The sequence below is a fragment of the Homo sapiens genome, chromosome 2 (assembly GCF_000001405.40).
Source record: "Homo sapiens chromosome 2, GRCh38.p14 Primary Assembly".
NCBI classification, from domain to species: domain Eukaryota; kingdom Metazoa; phylum Chordata; class Mammalia; order Primates; family Hominidae; genus Homo; species Homo sapiens.
Window position 1 is genome coordinate 229,160,792 of NC_000002.12, and position 20,594 is coordinate 229,181,385.

Below are 20,594 nucleotides of genomic sequence, written 5' to 3' on the forward strand. Positions count from 1 at the left end.
GAGGGAAATAAAATGTGGATTGCTTGATGAATTATTTAATCTATAAGAATACATCTTCCTATGGCAAAATTAACATTTTATGTAACTCTGAGTGGCTCTGGTGCATTTTTGGTGGTTAAAAGCATGAGAGTTATACCTGCTTCTGCTTTGGAACACTCTTCTGTCCCCTTCCTTGGGGAAGCTTCTCCACTACTGCATGCTGCCTTGTTGAATGAGGCTGTCAGTCACAGTTCCTTGCCCCCAACACTGAATAATGTCATTGCCCCCTTTACACAAAGAATATGCAACATGACACAGGCTGACCATCTGAGTGTCTCATGTCCCTGCCCAAAAGCATTGGTTCAGAGGAAACTCAAGACTGGCTGAACAGAATGTCCTGGAGATGGGCATGCAGGGTTGTGGACTGGGGTGATGTGAGCCCAGAGCTGCTGCTGGCCTCCTTCCCAATCGAAGTCAGCCTGAGAGTGAGACCACACTGAGACAAGGAAAGACAGAGATAGACAGAGAAATTTCCTGAGAAATGGAAAGACAGCCTTCGCATCATTGAACTCCTGGATCCAGCTGTGTCTAACTCAGATCCATCCAGGGACCCACCTAGAATATGAACCAGTGGACTCAATTTTATGTTTAAACAAGCTTGAATTGGGTGTCTGATCCTTGCAACTAAGAGAATCTTGCAATACAAATATATGGTAATGAAAAATCACCTGTGAAAATAAAAAGAAGCCATTAACAAAAATTTTACAAAGACGTCATGAATTTTAAAACTGCAGAAATGCATGGTAACGTTATCTCTTTTTTAAAAAAGTGAATCTTGTACTTATTTGAATAGACTAAACCTTAATGATAAAGTACCAATAATCTGAAGTAGGTATTACGGTCCCCAGGTTATCCATATCTAAGACAAAGCCCTCCGAGGTACTGCCAAATGAAATGAATTCCACCTCTCAAGAAACAGCCAAAGAGTGTACCTGCAGTGGCATCCCACTTAGGTGGCACATGCTCTTACTGGATAACAGAGTCCTATATGCCATACCCAGTTCTGTGGCCTTGTACTTCCTGGTCCTGTTTTCTCATCTGTCAACTTTAAAATGTTATATTAGCCATGTCAAAAACAGTATCAGTTGTACTTTGCATGCACAGGCAAGTGCAACACAGACAATGCACCTTAAAATAGCAAAAAGAAATAGCATTATAAAAAGGCAACAAAAGAAGAATCTAATAGAGGAGCTTGGAAAAGCTACTGCTCGCAAACCAAAGGTGCACAGAGATCCATAAAGAAAATGTGTTATTCATTTTTAAAGAAGTGAATAGTGTTGTAGAAAACTAGGGCACTGCCCTGGACAAATTAAACAAAGGTTGGCTTTCTGCATTGGGTGTTTTATGTGTGATCCCAAAATAGAGCCTCTAAATCAAGCCCCATTATGCAGACGGGGTAATCGCCATGCCCTGTATAATTTTACAGTTGGCGCTGCTTCCTACCCCTATTCAGACATTAATCTCTGACAGTTTAGCAAGTGGCAATTTACATATTTTACCAATTCAAATTGGTTGTATCTCACCTTTGTATTGATTTTGTATCCAAAATATAAAACATCTTTGGAAGGCAAAGCCTGCTTAATGTTTTTATAAGATAACTGGAACACTACCCATATTTAGAGGGAAGGCATTAAGATTTTAATCTTCGGTTGATCCTTGCATGTTGAAGACAGACTATAATGGTCAGTTTTAACTTGCAAATTACTGACTTAGTAATGCCCTAATCGAGCTTCAAAAATATGGCAAATGTTCATCTTAAGAGAACCACAAGGAACAATTGGGTGAATCAGATTAATGGAAAACTTCAGTCCAAATAAATGTTAATTTGTACAAGTGCACAGAAAACACTAGGGCTTTGACATTCTATTTATAATCATGCTTCATTTTATTACTTTGGGGATTCGAAAGGATTAATGGAACTCACTTGTGGTTTTCTCACATTCTATACCACTTATTGTAAATAAGGTATATTCAGGCTCCAACTATGAGAAAAGAAACCATAGTGACACTTTTTTGTGACGTTTAATAAGATATCTTGCTTATTCTTTTTAATGAAAATTCTTAGATTTCTGCTTTTAAGCATTTATTCTAACATTTTTCACAGAAATAAATGACATAAAATCAAAATAAAATTCTGTTAAACAATTTGTATATTTAACAACTAATTTGTATATAATTAAAAGTAATGATATGAAAGAAGAAAACTTTTACTTAAAATGACCTTTTATTTAAACTTTTTTAAACTATTTTTCTCTTACATATTAGTTCAACTTATAACCTATAAACATTTTTCATGCTAAGAGTTTGTCTATTTTTTCCTTTGACCCTTTTTTAATGCAAAATAGGTCAAATAATCTCCAAAATCTAGCAGGCATATACAAAATTAAACCTTCTTCTTCAAGAATTAACCTTCTTATGAAGTTTATGTCAATCTGGCATTTCAAGAAAAGAAAAACCTACACCAATTTGGCATTTATCTTCTTGTTACAATTCATCCTAGTCACTGTCTTATTCAAAATAGTTTCAGTTTAATTTTAAAGGCCTACATCCAAATCCTTATAAATTTAAAAGGCGCTCTATATCTATTAAAGAAATGGCTATTATTAAGCTAACTGAAAATACTCATGTTCACACAGCCATATTTATTCATGCAGCTTTGATCATGGAAGCATTTTTTTTTTTACCTTCCCAGAGTCTCTCAAGTGATTATGTGGGAGAGGAACCAAAATAACTCCGTGCCCAAGGAGTATGCAAAAGCCCCCAAGGCTTGTGAAGGGCTCACTTACTCAGTGGGGAGAGAGACAGAGGGAGAGAGAGAGAGTGTGTGTGTGTGTGTGTGTGTGTGCGTGTGCGTGTGTGTGTGTGTATACTCACTAATTCATTGATTTTGTCACTGACTTGAAATACACACACACACGCACACACACAAATGTGTTATGTTCCTAGTTAAGTAGTTTCTGTCATCTTCTAAACCATTTTGCTATATGTAAACAGTTATTTTTCCATTTTTCTAACTGTGAACAGTTAAACAATTCATTGTTAAACATGGGTTACAAGCTGCCTCTAGGTAAGTTTTATTTAATTCACAGACTGCTTTGTTGTTAAAATTTGAAGTGGTTTTCAAAAATTGAGATACATACATAGCTGAAATCTATATTTCCATGTCTTTTGAAAAATCAGAAGTTCTGCAAAAGGAACATTCCCTCATGGTTAACAATTAGCTCCAGCTGACTGTTGCAACTGCCTTATTGACCTAGGGGCTTTCCTCTGCAACTGGCCATGGTCTCTGCCTGCCCTCCTGCCAACTTTCTCGTTTATACTAAACACCATTTGCTATTTTTATAGTCATTGTATGCCTTACCAAATTCACTCCCATACATTACTTGCTTGTCCCTTTTAGGCATTTGAATTTGCAACCCCTGATGTAAAACGCCAAATGCTAGGAGCACAGAACAAAAATTTCACCTACTCATGAAAAAAAAAAAATTCAAGTATAGCTGAATTGACTCCTACCTGTATTTAAATTATGAAAATTGAACTAAGAGGGTGTGAGTCAGTGAATGATAGAATAATAATATAACACAATATAAACAGGTCAACATGTCTGTCTGTCATTGCACTCAATGAGGATGGGACATGAACAAGTACTTAGAAATCTGCTCTTCTCTGAGTTATTCCCACATGCCCCTTGTGGTGTGAGTATCTTGTTGCACTGAATACAATTAAAATGCTAACAATCAATATTGTTTACTTCCACTTTTAATCAGGATGAATTAACATGAACAGGGATGACCCTCCTACTTAAAACAACCAGAAGTTAAGAAACAACAGTTTGTGACCCTGGGTATGAAGCAATGAAGGACAGTGGCCCCTGAGAGATGTGAAACAAATGAGGTAAGATGTACACCTGCCCAGCTTCCTGCCTTGAAACAGTTTGCAGGCTGCAGAGCAGGGAGGAGAAACACAAGCAGGGTGCAGCGGAATCCCTGAGCTAAGGAGACAGAGATGAAAGCCTGGGGGGACAAACAAGAGAAGAGAACTTCACAGAGAGAGAATTCTGTAAATTTTCAGAGGGTCTCCTTAAATATTCAGCTGACTACTGATCAGCATATGCATAAAAGGAAACTCAAGGCTGGACAACATCCACTGGAAAGAATAAGAGGTTAGAGTGCTGGTGCTCACACAGGGCCAGTTACATTGCCTGCTCGCATCAGCCAGACTGAAAAAACTCATGAGTCACAGAGCAATGAGTAGAGAAATAAAGAAGTTCTAGTGCCACTAGTGGGGAAATTAGCACTAGACTACATGTTGCTCTGGTCTCACCTACAAATCTTAAAAGGAAGATTCAAAGGATCAGATTGCTTCCAAGTAATTTAACAGAATCTAACAACAACAAAAAGTTGAAGAATATAGGAATACAAAAATATCCAGTATCCAATAAGGTAAAATTTAAATGACCTAACATCCAATCAAAAATCACCAGACAAGGCCGGGCATGGTGGCTCATGCCTGTAAACCCAGCACTTTGGAAGGCTGAGACAGGCAGACCGCTTAAGCTCAGGAGTTCAAGACCAGCCTGGGCAAGATGGTGAAACCCCATCTTTACTAAAATTACAAAAAATTAGCCATAGTTCCAGCTACTTGGGAGGCTGAGGTGGCAGGATCACTAAGCCCAGGAGTTCCAGGCTGCAGTGAGCTATGATCAAGCCACTGCACTCCAGCCTGGGTGACAGAGCGAGACCCAGTCTCAAAAATAAAAAAAAAAATTGTCAGACATGAGACATGCAAAAATGGAAGAAAATAAAATCCATGAGGGTTAATAAACCAGTTAATGAAAGCCTACCCAGAACTGACAACAATGTTATAATAAACAGGCAATGACCTTAAAACTATATTCAATGTTACACTGATGGTTTTAACCAGTGCAATAAGGCAATAAAAAGAAATAATAAGACTCCATATTGGAAAGGAAGAAGTAAAATTGTCTTTATTCATAGAAAATTTGATTATCTTTGTAGACAATCCAACAATTCTTTTAGATAACCTAAAAAAAAGCAAACTACTAGAATGGATGAGTTTAGCAAAGTTGAAGGACACAAAATCAATATACAAAATTCTATTGTTTTCTATTGTCTAGCAATGAAAAATTAGCAATGACAGCAGATGTCCTTATAAAAGACTTGTACACAAATGCTCACAGTAGCTATATTTTTAAGAGCAGAAAATTAGAAACAACCTAAATGTTTCTCATCAAGCGAATGGACAAACTGTGGTATATCCACACAATGGAATGCTCCTCAACAAAGTGAAAAGGAATAAACTACAGATGCACACTACAACATAAATTATAAAACAATTATCCTGAGAACACAAACAAAAAAAGAGAACATACTGTATGATTCCATTTATATAGCATTGTAGGAAATAGATCAATGGATAGTGACTGAGAGGAGATCAGTTGTTGCCTGGGGATAGTGAGGAACGAAGAGAGGAGAGTGAGGTACATGAAGAAAGCTTTGTGGCGATGGTCTCATGCAGGTTTACAAATATCCAAACCTACCAACTTGTGCACTTTACATATGCATGGTTTATTATATGTCGAGTATACCTCATTAAAATTATTTTTCAGAGAAAAAATAGTTTCAAGTAATATGGCCCTTTAATTCATTCAAATGGCTTCATCTGATTGCTCAATGCTAGAGGGAAAATTTGCTGAGTGGAACAGACTAAGAAATAAATTCTGACCTCTAACATGGTGCCTTCCTAAGAGATTCCCAAGTAAAATTTTGACTCTACATGATTTTAATCTCCATGCTGACTTTGAAACTGAACTGTTGCATTGATATTACTCCCTATGAAATTAATAGTCAATGTCCTTCTCCTTGGATAAATGGCTAATTCTAGGACTGGGGCAAGAAAAGCAAAAGATGATCCCAGGGCATCTTGTTGAGCTAGAAATGAAGATAGTGCTCATAAAATGATGAGGACTTGTCGGATGAACGCTGGGAATAACCTGAAATAGCTCTCAACTTGGCCAACATTAGACAATTTCAGTAACAATAAATAATGGTTGTAATGGATTATAACCCTAGACTAAAAAAAATATCAATGAACAGTACTGAAAAGAAAAGAAAGGAAGGGGAAGGGGAAGGGGAAGGGGAAGTGGAAGGGGAAGGAAAGGAAAGGAAAGGAAGGGAGAGAAAAGGAAGGAAGGAAAGAAAGGGAAAGAAGAAAAGAAGAAACGAAAGAAGGGAGGAAAGAAGAAACTCATCCTTACAGTAAAGTTATACTTTTATAAATATAGAAGAAATTATCAAAATCTAAAGTTACCATATTGCAAACACTATAGCAATGTTTCAGGCATGAATCATTGTTTAAGGCTAAAATTAGTGGGCTAAATATGATGAGAATGAAGATATTTATATTGTCTCAAAGAATCTTTCCAGAAGATAATTATTTTACAAAGAGAACTTTACTTTGGCAAAACCTGGCAGACATTACCTTGACTAAGTGACCAAAATAACCATCTCTAACAATGAGAAATATTGACATAACTTGTCTCTAAATATAATATACTGAGAAGGTTACAACGCCACTTCTGTAGTAGTCCTGCCAAAAAATGCATAACCTGAATGTGATCATTAGAAAATACAGACAAACCCAAACTGAGAGACACTGTCAAGAATAACAGGCCAGAACTCTTCAAAAACGTTACAGTTATAAAAGGCAGAGAATGGCAGTAGAACTGACCAGATTAAAGAATACTAAAGAGATATGACTACTAAATACAATATATGATCTTAAATTGACATATACCTCATAAAAAAGCATTGGTGGAACAACTGATAAAATATGAATCAGGTCCTAAAATTACAAAATAGTATTTTACCAATATTACTTTCCTGGTTTTTATTCTACTATGATTATACAAAATTTAATCATTTGGGGACGCTTGAAAATTATACTATTTTGTCACTATTGAAATCTAACATTATTTTAAAATGAAAAGTTTTAAAAATGGAAAGTAGTCTTTGAATTTTTGAATTTTTATTTTAATTGTTGTTAAACATCACTTGTACATTTTCAAATAATACTTTTTAGAACTAACTTTAGATTTAACTTGTGTTCATATTTTAGCATCATGCAGCTACTATTCCAGTGTAGACTAAGTTATATTCTAGTTTCCGACAAGAAGTCTGTTATAATTCTTAATTTTGTTCCTTGTAATATGTCTTTTGTTTGTGACTGCTTTTAAGATTTTCTATTTATTTTTAGTTTTCAACTGTTTGGATATAATGAAGCCAGTTATATAGCTTGTTTCAGTATTTGTCATGTTTAGTGTTATCTTGAATCCATAGATCTGTGGTTTGATATCTTCCATTATTTTTGGAAAATTTTCAGCCTTTATGTCTTCAATAGTTCTTCCATCCCATTCTCTCTTCTCCTTCTGGCTTTTCAATTACATATATTTTAGACCATTTTATAGTATCCCACAAATCTTGTATGGTCTGTTCTAACTTTATACACTCTTTTTTCTTTTTGGATTTCAGTTTGGGTAATTTCTCTTGACCTATATTCAAGTTTACTTATTTTTCCTCTGGCTGTGCTGAATCTACTAATAAGCTCATTAAAGGCCTTCTTCATCCCTTTTACTTTGTTGTCATTGTTTCTGCTATTGTTACTGTTTTCCCCAGCAGTTACATCTGACTGTTTCTTACATGGTTTTTATCTCTTTGCTGAAATTCCCTATATGTTCATGCATGCTTTCCACCTTTTCCAATAGTGTTTGATATATTAAATATTAATCATCATTATTTTAAATTCCATATCTGAGTCTACTCAGAGTCTGGTTCTATCAACAGCTTTTTCTCTTCACAATAATTTTTTTTCCTTGTTTCTGTGTGTGTGCGTCTCATATATTTTGGTTGAATGCCGAGCATCATGTCCAATATAGTCTAAGGTAAATAGCATTTTTACATTGCATTCTTCTGCCCAAGTTAATTATTGTGGGGTTTCAAGTCAATCTAGTCTAGAACTGGGTTGAGTTTGGGTTTTATTGCTCTACCACAGGCTTCCATTTCTCTAGCATTAGCTTGTCCTTAAGGTGGAGTCTGGTTTGCTTAAAAGTAATCATCCATTATTGCCTCAATATTCCTATGCTACTCTCAGCTTTCTTTGTACTCCTGAGGCTAGGAGAAGGTCCCTCTCCTCACTCTTGCCTTGTCTCCAAAGGCTGACTGCAATTGCTTGATACTAGCCTGTGAGTTAGTATAAACTCTCCTTGGGCATCCAGCTCCCAGTGGTTCTACACTCTCATGCTAGCCCACAATTGACTTTTAAAAATGTAATAATTTTAGCTGGATTTTTCTTACCCCTTTGTATTGCAGTCCATGGTCTTCCTGTGATTTGCCATGAGTGAGTCAGAATTCATTTGTAGCCTCTTTTGGGAGCCCCTGTTTTCTATATATCAGTCTAGTTGGATGTACTATATGATCCCAGATCATAGTACATGATTTGATGGGTTCAAGAGAAGTTATGATTGTATAAATTATCTACATTTTTCTTTTTTAAGTTTTTAAACAGGCTCAGAAGGTATGGATTTTTCTTATTGGTAAAATGAAAGCAATGCTTTCTCTAGCTTCCTACATCCTAGGCAGAAACTAGTAGTAAAATTCATATTTTTAATCAGTTAAAAATTAATACATTGAGGAATGCTATATGTTTGGCAGACACAAATAAAATGTTCTGAAATAGGCATTAGCATTACTTATCATTTCCAAAGGTCCTAAGGTCCTTTCTCTCAAATGCTGTCTCTTTCCAACTCAGATAATTACGTTTTCATGAATACTGACTATCTGGTTGTGGTCAGCTTCCTATCTGCCTTCTCAGACATCTCCTCTTACAGATATATTAACCCTATCCTCCCTGACAAATAAATGTGGAAACATGAACCCTGCAACTCTCTGTAGGAAAAACTACCCAGAATTGCAGAATATTCAGAATAGAAGCAATGTTCCAGATGACTTAGACAAACTCCCTTATTTCACAGATGAAGAAACTAAAGCCCAGAGAAGTGAAGCAACGAGTCCAAGGTCATCCAGAGCCACACGCTTCAAAGAAAACTAGACTCACAACCCCAGACATCTGGTGACTGGCTCAGTTCTGAAGACAGCATGCCATACCAGATCACTTCCGAACCCCTGTCAAGAGCTGACAAGGTAGCTGCTGCATCATCGCTTAGAACTATGAAACGGAAACCTTTATAATCAGAAAATCCAAACATTTGACTTTGGCCAAGTCGCATGTACTTCCTGAGCTTTGGTTGCCAATAATACAAGGCCAATAATACCTTTCATGAAAAATTAATATAAATATGTGTGTGTATGTGTGTGTGTTTGAGAGACAGAGAGAGACAACATGAGTGTGAAAGATATCTTTCTCATCAACTGTCTGGTACTTTACAAGGATGTTGTTATTTACCTTCCAATAATACTCTAAAAATAGCAGGGCAGATTCATTTTGAGGCATTTGAACGTCAGAGCCCAGATTCTCTAACATCTTGCAACATTTCCCCCCACAATGTACATTAAGTACATAGAAGAGTAACTGGCACATGCACGCATTTACAAAAATTTTTATTCTTTTCCCTCCTATTTTCTGCCATTTAAATATAGACAACCATTTAAAAATGTGTAAAAACATATATACAAAAGTGTTAACAGCAGCTATTATCAGGTTGTGGAATTGAATATAATTTTTTTCTCTTTTCTCTTTTGCTCTCTTCTTGATAATTTTTATTTTCTACCAATTTAAAAAAAATGTGTTTTCATTTTATGGAAAGTTTAATGTAAGTGATTTGTAATTAGATGGAAGATGAGGCACAGATCAAGTAGACGCCTCTTCATGACAGTCTTTGATGCACGCACGCATGGGAGTGCTGCAAGAAACACAAAGCAACCTCTGAAAACCTGCCCAAACCAAGTGCAGAGGGAGAAACAGCCCTGAGTGCTTATCTTCCTCCGAAGTAATAAATGAGGACACAGAGCAGAGAATAAAAACAAAACAGAGTAAACATACTTTCAAAAGAATGAAAGAAGTCAGACAAAACAATGTAAGATTTAGAAACCAGACCAAATGTTATGAATTTAAGAATCCAGGGACTGTTTCTCATTTTGTCCCAAGGGACTTCATTCAGTCCCCAAGTATAGCCCAAGGGCACCTTGATTTGCAATTGGAAGTGCTCAGCTTGACAGTATCAGAGTGAATACCCCGCTCATCGGAACATAGCACGTACATGTTATAAACACACACATATTTATGTCCATGCACATTTGGTTTTGCTTTCATTTCACTTTTGCTAGACATAATTCCTTACAGGAATATGTTTTGGTTGATGCAGGATTGAACATCATCTTGGCAGTTTGGGAAGAAAGTAAAAATAATTTTATTCCAGGGCTTCAAGTGGTCAGGAAGGTGACATGCCAGAGCTTTGGCAAGCCAGAGTTCACTTCAATAAAAGCTCAGTGGACAGCATTATGTCGCAAAGCCATCTATGGAGGACAGAATTTATCTGTTCTACACGTTATCTTTAGGAAGGTTAAACAAAAAGAGTAAAATTAATCTCCAACATCTAGGGAGACAGCAATTCTAATATTCTGTGGGCATTATCATCATATCTAGAAAGGCTTTTCTGAAACTCCCAACCTAGAACTAACCCCTCTCTCTGTTTATGCCTGAACTGTACCTTGTGCAATAATTCATACTTTCATAGCATTTGTAACACCTGAATACATTGTTTAGATGATGTTTCTTCTTTGTATCCTCACTACCTACGAAATGTCTGGCACATAGTAGCTCCTAAATGTATATTTGATTAATAAATTAATGAATAGGTGAGTGACAAAAATATCATTGGAATTTAAAAACAATGTCTTCAAACTAAACACATGCCTAAGCCATACTGTTCACATCTTGCCTCACTCCCTTCTGTTGCTTGACTATATACCACTACTGGTTACCATCAACTCCATAGCTTCAACCTGGACACCATCTTGCAATGAGCTCTGGTCTAAATCCAGAGTCAAATATCCATGCTCTTTTGCAGGATGTTGACAATCTTCAGCCATGAAGATTAACAGTGGCCACACTGGTTCCACTGAAATCATACAACTTTCCTTGGACAGAAAGGGCTCTGTGCCTGCAGTATCATAGGGAGCTGTGCACAGGAGTTATGGCCTAGGCTCGTCTCAGCAAATTACAACAGCAGAAAGGGCTCCTTCCCGCCAGATCCTAGCAAAGAAGTCAAAGCATTCCAATGAGGAAAGTGACTTTCTTTGAGTAACAGCTAAAAGGTCCAAACATCTGAAGAAGGACCTCTCTACCCTCCTCCAAATAGTTTCAGGGTGGAATGTCATTCCTGACCGGAGGGAATGCACAGGCAAGTTTGAAATATTGATCAATGAAGCATATATAAGAAAGTACCAAAAACCAGGTGGTTTAAAACAACAGAGTTATTGTCTAACAGTTCTAGAGGCTAGAAGTCTGAAATCAAGGTTCCAACAGTGCCATGCTCTTTTTGACGGCTCCAGGAGAGGCTGCTTCTTTGTCTCTTCTGGCTTCTGGTGCTGCTGGCAACCTTTGGCATTCCTGGGCTTGTAGCTGCATTGCCCCAATCACTTGCTGTCTTAGGCCTGCATTTCTTCACACCCTCTTTCCTCAGTGCACGTCTATCTCTGTGTCTTAATTTCCTTTTTTCTAAGGACAGCAGTCATATTGATTAGGGCCCACCCTAATGATCTCATTGTAATCTCTTAATTACCTCTGTAAAGGCCTTATATCCAAATAAGATCATATTGTGAGGCTCTGGGGATTGGGACTTCAACATAATATTTTGTTTGTTTTTGTTTTTGTTTGTTTTGAGACAAGAGTTTCACTCTTGTTGCCCAGACAGGAGTGCAATGGCGTAATCTCAGCTCACTGTAACCTCCACCTCCTGGGTTCGAGCAATTCTCCTGCCTCAACCTCCTGAGCAGCAGGGATTACAAGTGCGTGCCACCATGCCCGGCTGATTTTTTGTATTTTTAGTAGAGATGGGATTTCACCATGTTGGCCAGGCTGGTGCCGAACTCCTGATGTCAAGTGATCAACCCAACTCAGCCTCCCAAAGTGCTGAGATTACAGGCGTGAACCACTGGCCTCAATGCACTTTTTGAAGGGGCTCAGAAGACACTATTCAGCCCAAAACAGAAAGGAAAGGAGCTCTCCATGTGAGCTCTCCATGAGTCCACCTCAGCATAGATATTTCACCAGCCACTGCCAATCATTATTTGTTTTCATTCCACCTAAACCCAACATAATTCCAAACAACCCAGGACTAGATATCAACCTACATGGGTAGGACCTAGCATGGGGTCTGTCCAAATTCAGTGGACCTGAATTGACTCAAGGATGCATGGTCACCAAAATGCCAATGGTTTCGATAAGCAGTTCGGGCTACTCCCAGGCACAATTCTACTTTGTGTTTGGTCTGTTTGTTTTCTAAGAGTCATGAAGGCAAACAGCACTTGACATCTGTCAAGTTCCATTACCAGCTTGTGTCTTACCTGCTCTGATCTATTTTGAATTGAAACACAATAAAGAACCTACCTCTTAAATCCTACTGCTGGGTTATTCAGCCATCTATTCATTAATCTTCTTATTAATACTGAGTCATGCGCTCTACTGAGTATGCAGTGTTGAATAAGACAGGCATGTTTCCTGCCTTCATGGAGCTGAACTTGAACCAGGGACACTGACATTGAGAAAATAAGAGTTTCCTGTTTCAAAATAAAAGGCCAGTCATCACATTTCTTAGACCGTGTGCTAAGGAAGCCTAGAGCTGGTAGTATCAGTGCTCTTCCCTTATCCCTCAGGCCTCCCCACTTCGGTGTGCCCTGAAGCTTCTTCCAAAGCCAAGGGAGAAAAGTGCAGTGGAATTAACACCCCCTGGAAGCCCCAGTTCTCAATCAATGAGTAGCAGAGTTAAAGTATAAACACCTCAGCTCCCTGGCCCTGCAAGTGGCTTAACTCTGAGTTGGGATGGGGAGGGGTGGTTGTTTCCATTTCTGAGAATTTCCACACAGGACTAAGCTCCACTTACCTCACTCCTGAGAGCTAACTAGGAGAGAGCACCTTCACTGGCCTCTTCCCCTTCCCTGCTCCACTTCCCTGACCTCCATCAGTGTTTCTGCATGCACAAAAGGCTACTTGCACATAATTCCTTATCTCAGGAGACCTCAAACTTAAGAATTTCTTGTTTACTCAGTGTTTGCTCAGGTTTCTTGGTATTTAAACATAGCCAGAAACAGGGAACAGAGCTTGATTCAGACTGTGGTGTAAGAATCTGTAGTGGACTTGCTGTGTGTGCAATTTGGTAGGCCTGAGGGATAAAGACAAAACTTTACTTTCCCTTAGTCCATCTCAATTCAATTCAATAAGTAGTTTATGGACATTCCACGGGTAGATGATAGAGGTACCTACGGAGCTCACGGTCAGGTAATGTAGAAAGAGAAAGAAGCATTATACAACCAACATAAATACAATGCAGAATTACATGAAATGGTTGTAAATGTAAAGTGAACAATTAATTCTGACTGCTGGGATTGGGCTGGGATAGGCATTATGGAAGAGAGGACTACAGATCTGGGCTTGGAAGTAAAGCAATGTTTCCCAAGTATTTTTTACATTATCACCCCCCAATGGGCCTTTTTAGACTGTCCCCATTACCTCCCCCAACCCATAAAATGTCAGTACCACAGATATACTGTGTACCTATTTATGCTGTATGGTACAGAGATTTTTTTTGCCCCTCCCCAACCCCAGAACCAAGCTTCCTCCCACTGAAAATGCATGAAGAAAAAAAAAAAAAAAAGAAAGAGAGTACAGGTTTAAATAAAACACTATGATAAATGCTAAAAGGTATGAAAGTGAACAACTCATAGAGGCAAAGGTAAACCGTCCAATTTGGCCTCTTGTAGATTAATAATGATTGCAACTTCTTTGATACTCCTACCTCAAGAGGAGATGTCTATGTCCCTTTCAGTTCAACCCTTAAGAGTCTGGCAGCTTCCACTTGCTGAACACTAAGCCTTGGCATCCAGCCATGCTGTGAGGAAGCTCAAACATCCCCAAGGAGAGGTGTATATGGAGAGAAAACAGGGCAGCCCAGTTGCCAGCTTGCCAGCCATGGGAATAAGCCATCTTGAAGTGGATCCTTTAGTGCCAGTTGAGCCGTTCCTGCTGGCCCACATAGCCCTGTCCAAATTGTAGATTTACAAACAGAAAAAAAGTTCTTGTTTTTTTGAGCAACTAATTCTGGGAGTGATTTGTAATAAAGCAATAAATAATCAGAACATGACACAGACACAACACAAAGCTACTAAATCACACACACGGCAAGTCCACTACAGATTCTCATACCACAGTCTGAATCAAGCTCTGTTCCCTGTTTCTGACTATGTTCAAATACCAAGAAACCCGAGCAAACACTGAGTAAACAAGAAATTCTTAAGTGACTGATTCATTAATTAAAGTCACAAGGTCATACTTTGCTTGTCAAATACAATTTTTTAAATTTTAAGCAAGGCTGCTGTTGTTTATGAGTCAATTAGCTTGTAAACAAAAAGTACTGCAAGTCTCCCTGAACAACATTTTTGTATTTCCAAGAATCAGGAAGACACTGAATACATACTTTATCATAATAAATAAAATACACAGGCTGCTCTAAAAGAATTGTTCAGACCAGAACTGAATGAAGTGAAAACATTTTCAAATGCAAGTGGCAGGCAAACTGCCCCACCCTATCCTGGAAGACAATACAAAGAGGGATGGGGGAGAGAAGAAAATAAGTGATTCTCCTACACACCCAGCCCATGCCATGCTAATCCCTTTTTGAGGACCACTGGTTTTAAACAAACTCTCTTTTGCTGTAAAACAAAGAAGACCCTTTCTTATCATTGCATCCATTCGCCACATTTAAATATCAACCTAAACATAGACTACGCAACACTAAGATTCGCAGTTACTAGAAAAGGTTTTTTTACAGTCCAAATGATCTGTGATGGACTTCACCATCCCCACGGCTGCTGCCTCCCATAATCTGCCTCAAGTACAACACAGGCTCCCTGCACTTATTCCAAAAAGTAACATCTATCAAAGCTACAAATTTGAAACAGGTGCATATTTAGCATGTAAATGTAGAACAACTTTATATTTCCTTAGCTGCATTCAACACGCTCATGAAATTTAGATTTCTACAGTTTAGTCCAAAGTTCCTACAACCTTCAAAAATTAAAAAAAAAAAAACAAAACAAAACAAAAAAAGATTAGCAAATTGAATTATAAACAAGAAGGATATGGAAACTTGACTTCCCACCCGTGAATGGTCTCGGTAAACAAACCCTAAGTCCACATGCAAGCCTCCATTAATTGGTTCCTTTTGGCTCAGAGCTCCCCTGCTTGCCTCAGCTCATAGTCACATGCCCAGCTGACTTTGCCCAGGGGGCATATGATTTTCAATCCCTGGATTCAGCACGCATTCCCCATATAGCCTGTGCTGTACATTGTTTCTATTAGGGAACCAGGCCTCCAAGTTCAAAACCTTACATTCTTACAAATTTTGAAAACCCTAGTCAATGCTGATGATACTTAAAAATACAAGATCTTTTCCTATAACATACAGTCTGCAGATTAGTCATGCCTGATTTCAACAATTCTTGATGGATGTCTACATCTACTATGTTGTCTGTTGCCATTAATATTGTTTTTCAACCTTATCATGAAAAAGAAGACGGCATTGTATAAGCCCTATGCTCCCAAATATTTCATTTGTACGACAGACATCATCATATGCTTTCTCCTTCACCATGTAGTTAACAAAGGGAAGCCAAAAAATCTACTGTGGGCCAGAAAGAATCCAGCAGTAGGTGAAGAAAGAATTTAAGAAGCTCTATTTCTTCCACAACAGCAAGGGTTGCCTGAATTTGAATCCTGGTTCCACCTCTTACTAGATGCATGACCTGGGAAGTGAACTTAACTTCCTGTATTAGTCTATTTCCACATGCTGATAGACATACCCAAGACTGGGCAATTTACAGAAGAAAGAGGTTTAATGAACTCACAGGTCCATGTGGCTGTGGAGGCCTCACAATCATGGCAGAATGTGAAAGGTACATCTCACATGGCAGCAGACAAGAGAAGAGAACTTGTGAAGGGAAATTCCCCTTTAGAAAGCCATCAGATCTCATGAGACTTATTAACTACCACAAGAATAGCATGGTAAAGACCCACCCCCATGATTCAATTACCTCCTACCAAGCCCCTCTCACAACACGTGGGAATGGTAGGAGTTACAATTCAAGATGAGATTTGAGTAGGGACACAGCCAACCATATCGCCTCCCAAGCCCCAGTTTGTTCATCTGTAGATGGGGACGATTATATATAATACATGCACTTCACAGGGCTACATAAGGATTAACTGGGTAAAATAAGTAGAACAGGTAGCCCAGGTCCCAACATCAGGCAAGAGCTTCAAAGTTAGCCATAATTGTTACGTGAATTATTCCTACATAATTAATTGTTATTGTTATTTTCTTTTTTCGTTGTCTTTTGCTTTTCTCATTCTCTCAATTCTTCATCACATCTCTTTTCTCCCCCTCCTTATTTGCACTGATTTCAACATGTCTGCCTTTCATCACTCTCATCTCACCAAGTGACTTATTTTCATGAGTGACTTATTTATTCATGGGTGAATTCTACAGATTGTTGTTTTAGACTTCTGATAAGGAAAGGATTCATATGAAAAAATGTTGATCAGACAGACTAGGGGAACAACTATCCAGTTGAACCCCTGGCATCTTTCATCATCATCATCATCATCATCATCATTGTCAGTCATTCTCTTGGCTAGCATCTATTGAGCTGCGCCTCCAGAGCTATGTCAGGTATAATGACTCAGGAAATGCTCACGACAATGCTCTGAGGTAGGAACTACGGTTAAACCCATTTACAGTGGTCAAAACTGAGGAACAAAGAGGCTCAATAACTGAGCCCACAGGTGTGCAGCTCAAAATCAAAATGCCCCAAACTGGGCCACTTGTCCTCCAGGGTCTCCCCACCGACAAACCTTCCCCTCTTTCCAGAGTGTCTGTCAGCCCCAGCAGCAGCTTACAGGCCCAAGTCAGAGACTGGGGCTGCAGTTTTTACTCCCTTCTCTTTCTTAAACTGTACATCTACTTAATAAAAATAGTCAGCCAGTTATTTTAATCAAATCCCCTTATTGCTATATTTTTATTTTATCAGAAGCTGAGGAAAAGAAATAGAAGCTTTCATACTTGAGGCGAACATGAATTTAAATTGCAATTTCCCCATCAGAGCTCTCTATCCTCAGGAGAGGGACCACAACAGAACCAAAACTTCCCAGTGGGGAAGGCCAGTGCTGTGAGCTGCTCAGGACAGGCATCTCCTGGGTGTGTCCCTCCTGGCAGGCGTTAGCAGTTGTCTAACAAAAACCTCCCCGTAAGCTCATGTCAAAAGGCATCTTAATCAAAAAGGTGTATATAGAAATTTTAGCTTATTTTCTTCAATTAGTTTTTTTTAAGAAAAAGAAAATACAGGTAATAATTCTTTTGTTGGTGATTATCTTATTGTCCCAACATTAATCTTGATTGTAGTCTTTCTCAGTGACTCTAATCCTCCTGGCCACTGTGCCATAAATTTTATGGTCATTTTCTATAATAAGCCACAATAAAAAAAAAGTCCATTTCTTCTGAATGTTTACTAATTATATCCAATTAAATATATTTTATTATTTATAAAGGCATTTTAAATGACCCATATTGAAATTAACCTTTGCCATTAAGTGTCAAATTCTGTACAGAGCTAGACTATGTGATCGAGACTACACATCCTCTGACATTTCAGAGGCGGAAAGTGTCTCTTGTGGTCTGGAGGAATCAGAAAAAGATGTGAAGAAGGAAGTGGGACCGTCCCTATGCACCGGGCACAAGTCAAGAGAAGGAAGGACGGAGGACACATGGAGACCATGTGAAGAGCAGAGCTGACCCCAGGGTGAGGCCCCAACCCAAAGCCAGATCCTCTCTGGAAAGGTCAGATGTGAAAACTCAGTCCAAAGAAATTGCATGTGATCCCTTTAACCACTAACTCTTTCACTACTCACCCCTCTGGTTTGCAAATGTTTAAAAAGAGAAGGTGCAAATTTCACTCCCCTCTTGGTCCCAAGACCATCAACAAATCTTACCCCTCATGATCTCAATTCTGTGTCTCCTCATACTGAGGCTCTGTGCCCCTCCCCATTCATACAGAGAAGCTGTGAAAGTCCTGGGTTTCCCACAAGCAGAGGCCAAAGAATGGCCAGTCCTCGCAGACAGAGCCTGCAGGCTAGGGACCTCCATGGCTCCCATCAGCCCCCAGCCCACCCAGCCTACAGAAAACAGAGCCCTTCCATGTATATTCCCTTCTAAAGATGTTAGTGGATGTCTGGGTTCCTCTGGCTCCTAATCTTATACCACATTAGGAAAATGCTTCCCATTCAAAACACTAAAGCCCACTCTTAAAATGGAGTGATGAACAGGAACACCAAAAAGAAAGAGAGAATTTGGAGGAAAAAAAACTACTCAAAAGTAAGTTTTAAGTAAAAGATGCCCTCAAATTTTCATACCATTTAAAAAGAGCTCATAGCGTCCATTTAGTAAGACTGAACCATTTTCATTACTAACCTATTGGAAATTGCATATGCCCTTTAATGCAAGATTATAATAAAACCCAATCATGCAAGATTCCCAACAACAACAACAAAAAAAAGCAGCTCTCCTCAAAGCAAAGGTCGCCAGATACAAAGTAAATGCCAGATTTTATCTAGCTGTTTGAGAACACAGTCTGCTGAGCTGATTTAAGCAAAGGCAGCTGCGTGTAGGTCATTTGTTTGTCCTGGATTTAGCCCTGAACTGAGCAGCACGAAGCAAAAAAGAGGCTGGACTCTCCTTGGCCACACGGACCTCTGCTCAGAAACAGGCCCATCTGCCCAGACTCACCTTGTCCCTTTTGTCCTCAACTGAGTCCCTCATTGGACATATCCCCCACCCAGCACAAGACCAAATCTGCACCAACACAAGAGCCAAGTCAAAGGGACTGGCTAAATCTCCTGTAGTTCGAATAAATGCCAATAATTACAACCACATGCACTTCGTATACAGGTCCCAAATCTGAAGTCTCCTTCATCTTTTAAACCTCTGCTTGATGAGTCTTTGCAGAAAGTTCAAGTGACCTAATTTTTTCTAGAGTACCAGAAGTGATTGATGTTTATAAGGTACACCTTAGGCAATGCACAGAACAGAGATATTGGTCGACTCATCAAAGATTAAATTATGTCCTACATAATTTTAAGTGTTATAAATATTGCAGTTAGTTGGGAATTAGTAATCCATCTAAAGTGCATATCTGTATGCGCATAGAAGACATTATTTGATAAATAATTATCGCTTAATAAGTATGTGCTAACATTATGCTTCCAGTGACAGAATGAAGCTTTAGGAAGGAAAAAAAAAGTCTCAAAATGTCAATGTAACTAAGAAAAAGATTTCAAACCTTCAGCATGGTAGTTCTCAAAGTCTGGATTCACAGCATCAGCATCATCTGAGAACTTACTGGAAATGGAGGTTTCCATGATCCACCACAGACCTGCTGGATCAGAATCTCTGGGGATGAGGCCAGGTCTCCTGCCACCTAGCAAGCCCTCTGAAGGGGTGGGTTGCCCCTCCAATTCCATCACAGGCTTTTAAATACTCTGAGATTACATCTGAGCCTGCGGGAACCTTTCCTTTTAATGACTTAACGGCTGATTGACACTCAGGATTGGCGTCTTCGTATGCCATCAACTCCACTACGCCCATCTCCGCCACTCCGGATTCGGGGATCTGAACCCGACTCCCTTTCGATCCGCTGAGGGCAAGGGAGGCCATTGCCTGTCCCTTCGGAACGGCGCTCGCCCATCTCTCAGGACCGACTGACCCGTGTTCAACTGCTGTTTCACTGGACGCCGCCAGAACAGCGACGCTTTCCAAGGCACGGGCCCCTCTCTCGGGGCGAACCCATTCCAGGGCACCCTGCCCTTCACAAAGAAAAGAGAACTCTCCCCGCGGCTCATTTTTCTTTCTCTACACTTTGTCTCTGTGTCTCTTTCTTTTCCAAGTCTCTCGTTCCACCTAACGAGAAACGCCCACAGGTGTGGAGGGGCAACCCACACCTTCACCCTCCAGCTAATTCTGATATGGGATAATGTTGGAGAATCTCAGGACTAAAGGGAAGCCTTATTAGTGAGGAATCCTCTAAGCACGGCCTTGAAGGTCAGGTGAGATAACAGGATGCTAACAGATGAGGCCCCGAAGGGAGAAAGAGCCCAGGGGCAGAAAGCAGACGTTGTATTTGAGAACCAGCAAGAGTCTACTTTGGTTGAAATATACAATCCAAAAAGGTGAACAGCAGAAGTTGATGCTGGAA

The 20,594-nt window shown here is 39.2% G+C and overlaps 1 protein-coding gene across 7 annotated transcripts in view, besides 1 other annotated feature; it reads right to left on the reverse strand.

Annotated features, from left to right (window-relative positions):
- PID1 (phosphotyrosine interaction domain containing 1) overlaps positions 1-20,594 on the reverse strand; it is a 247,315-nt gene that overhangs the window by 136,819 nt on the left and 89,902 nt on the right. The window lies entirely within an intron of this gene.
- Positions 19,922-20,216: a silencer, noted in NCBI's record as "tiled region #3439; K562 Repressive DNase unmatched - State 11:FaireW". NCBI's record gives its function as "represses a minimal TATA promoter and a strong SV40 promoter by Sharpr-MPRA in K562 cells {active_cell/tissue: K562}" and the evidence as "EXISTENCE:reporter gene assay evidence [ECO:0000049][PMID:27701403]".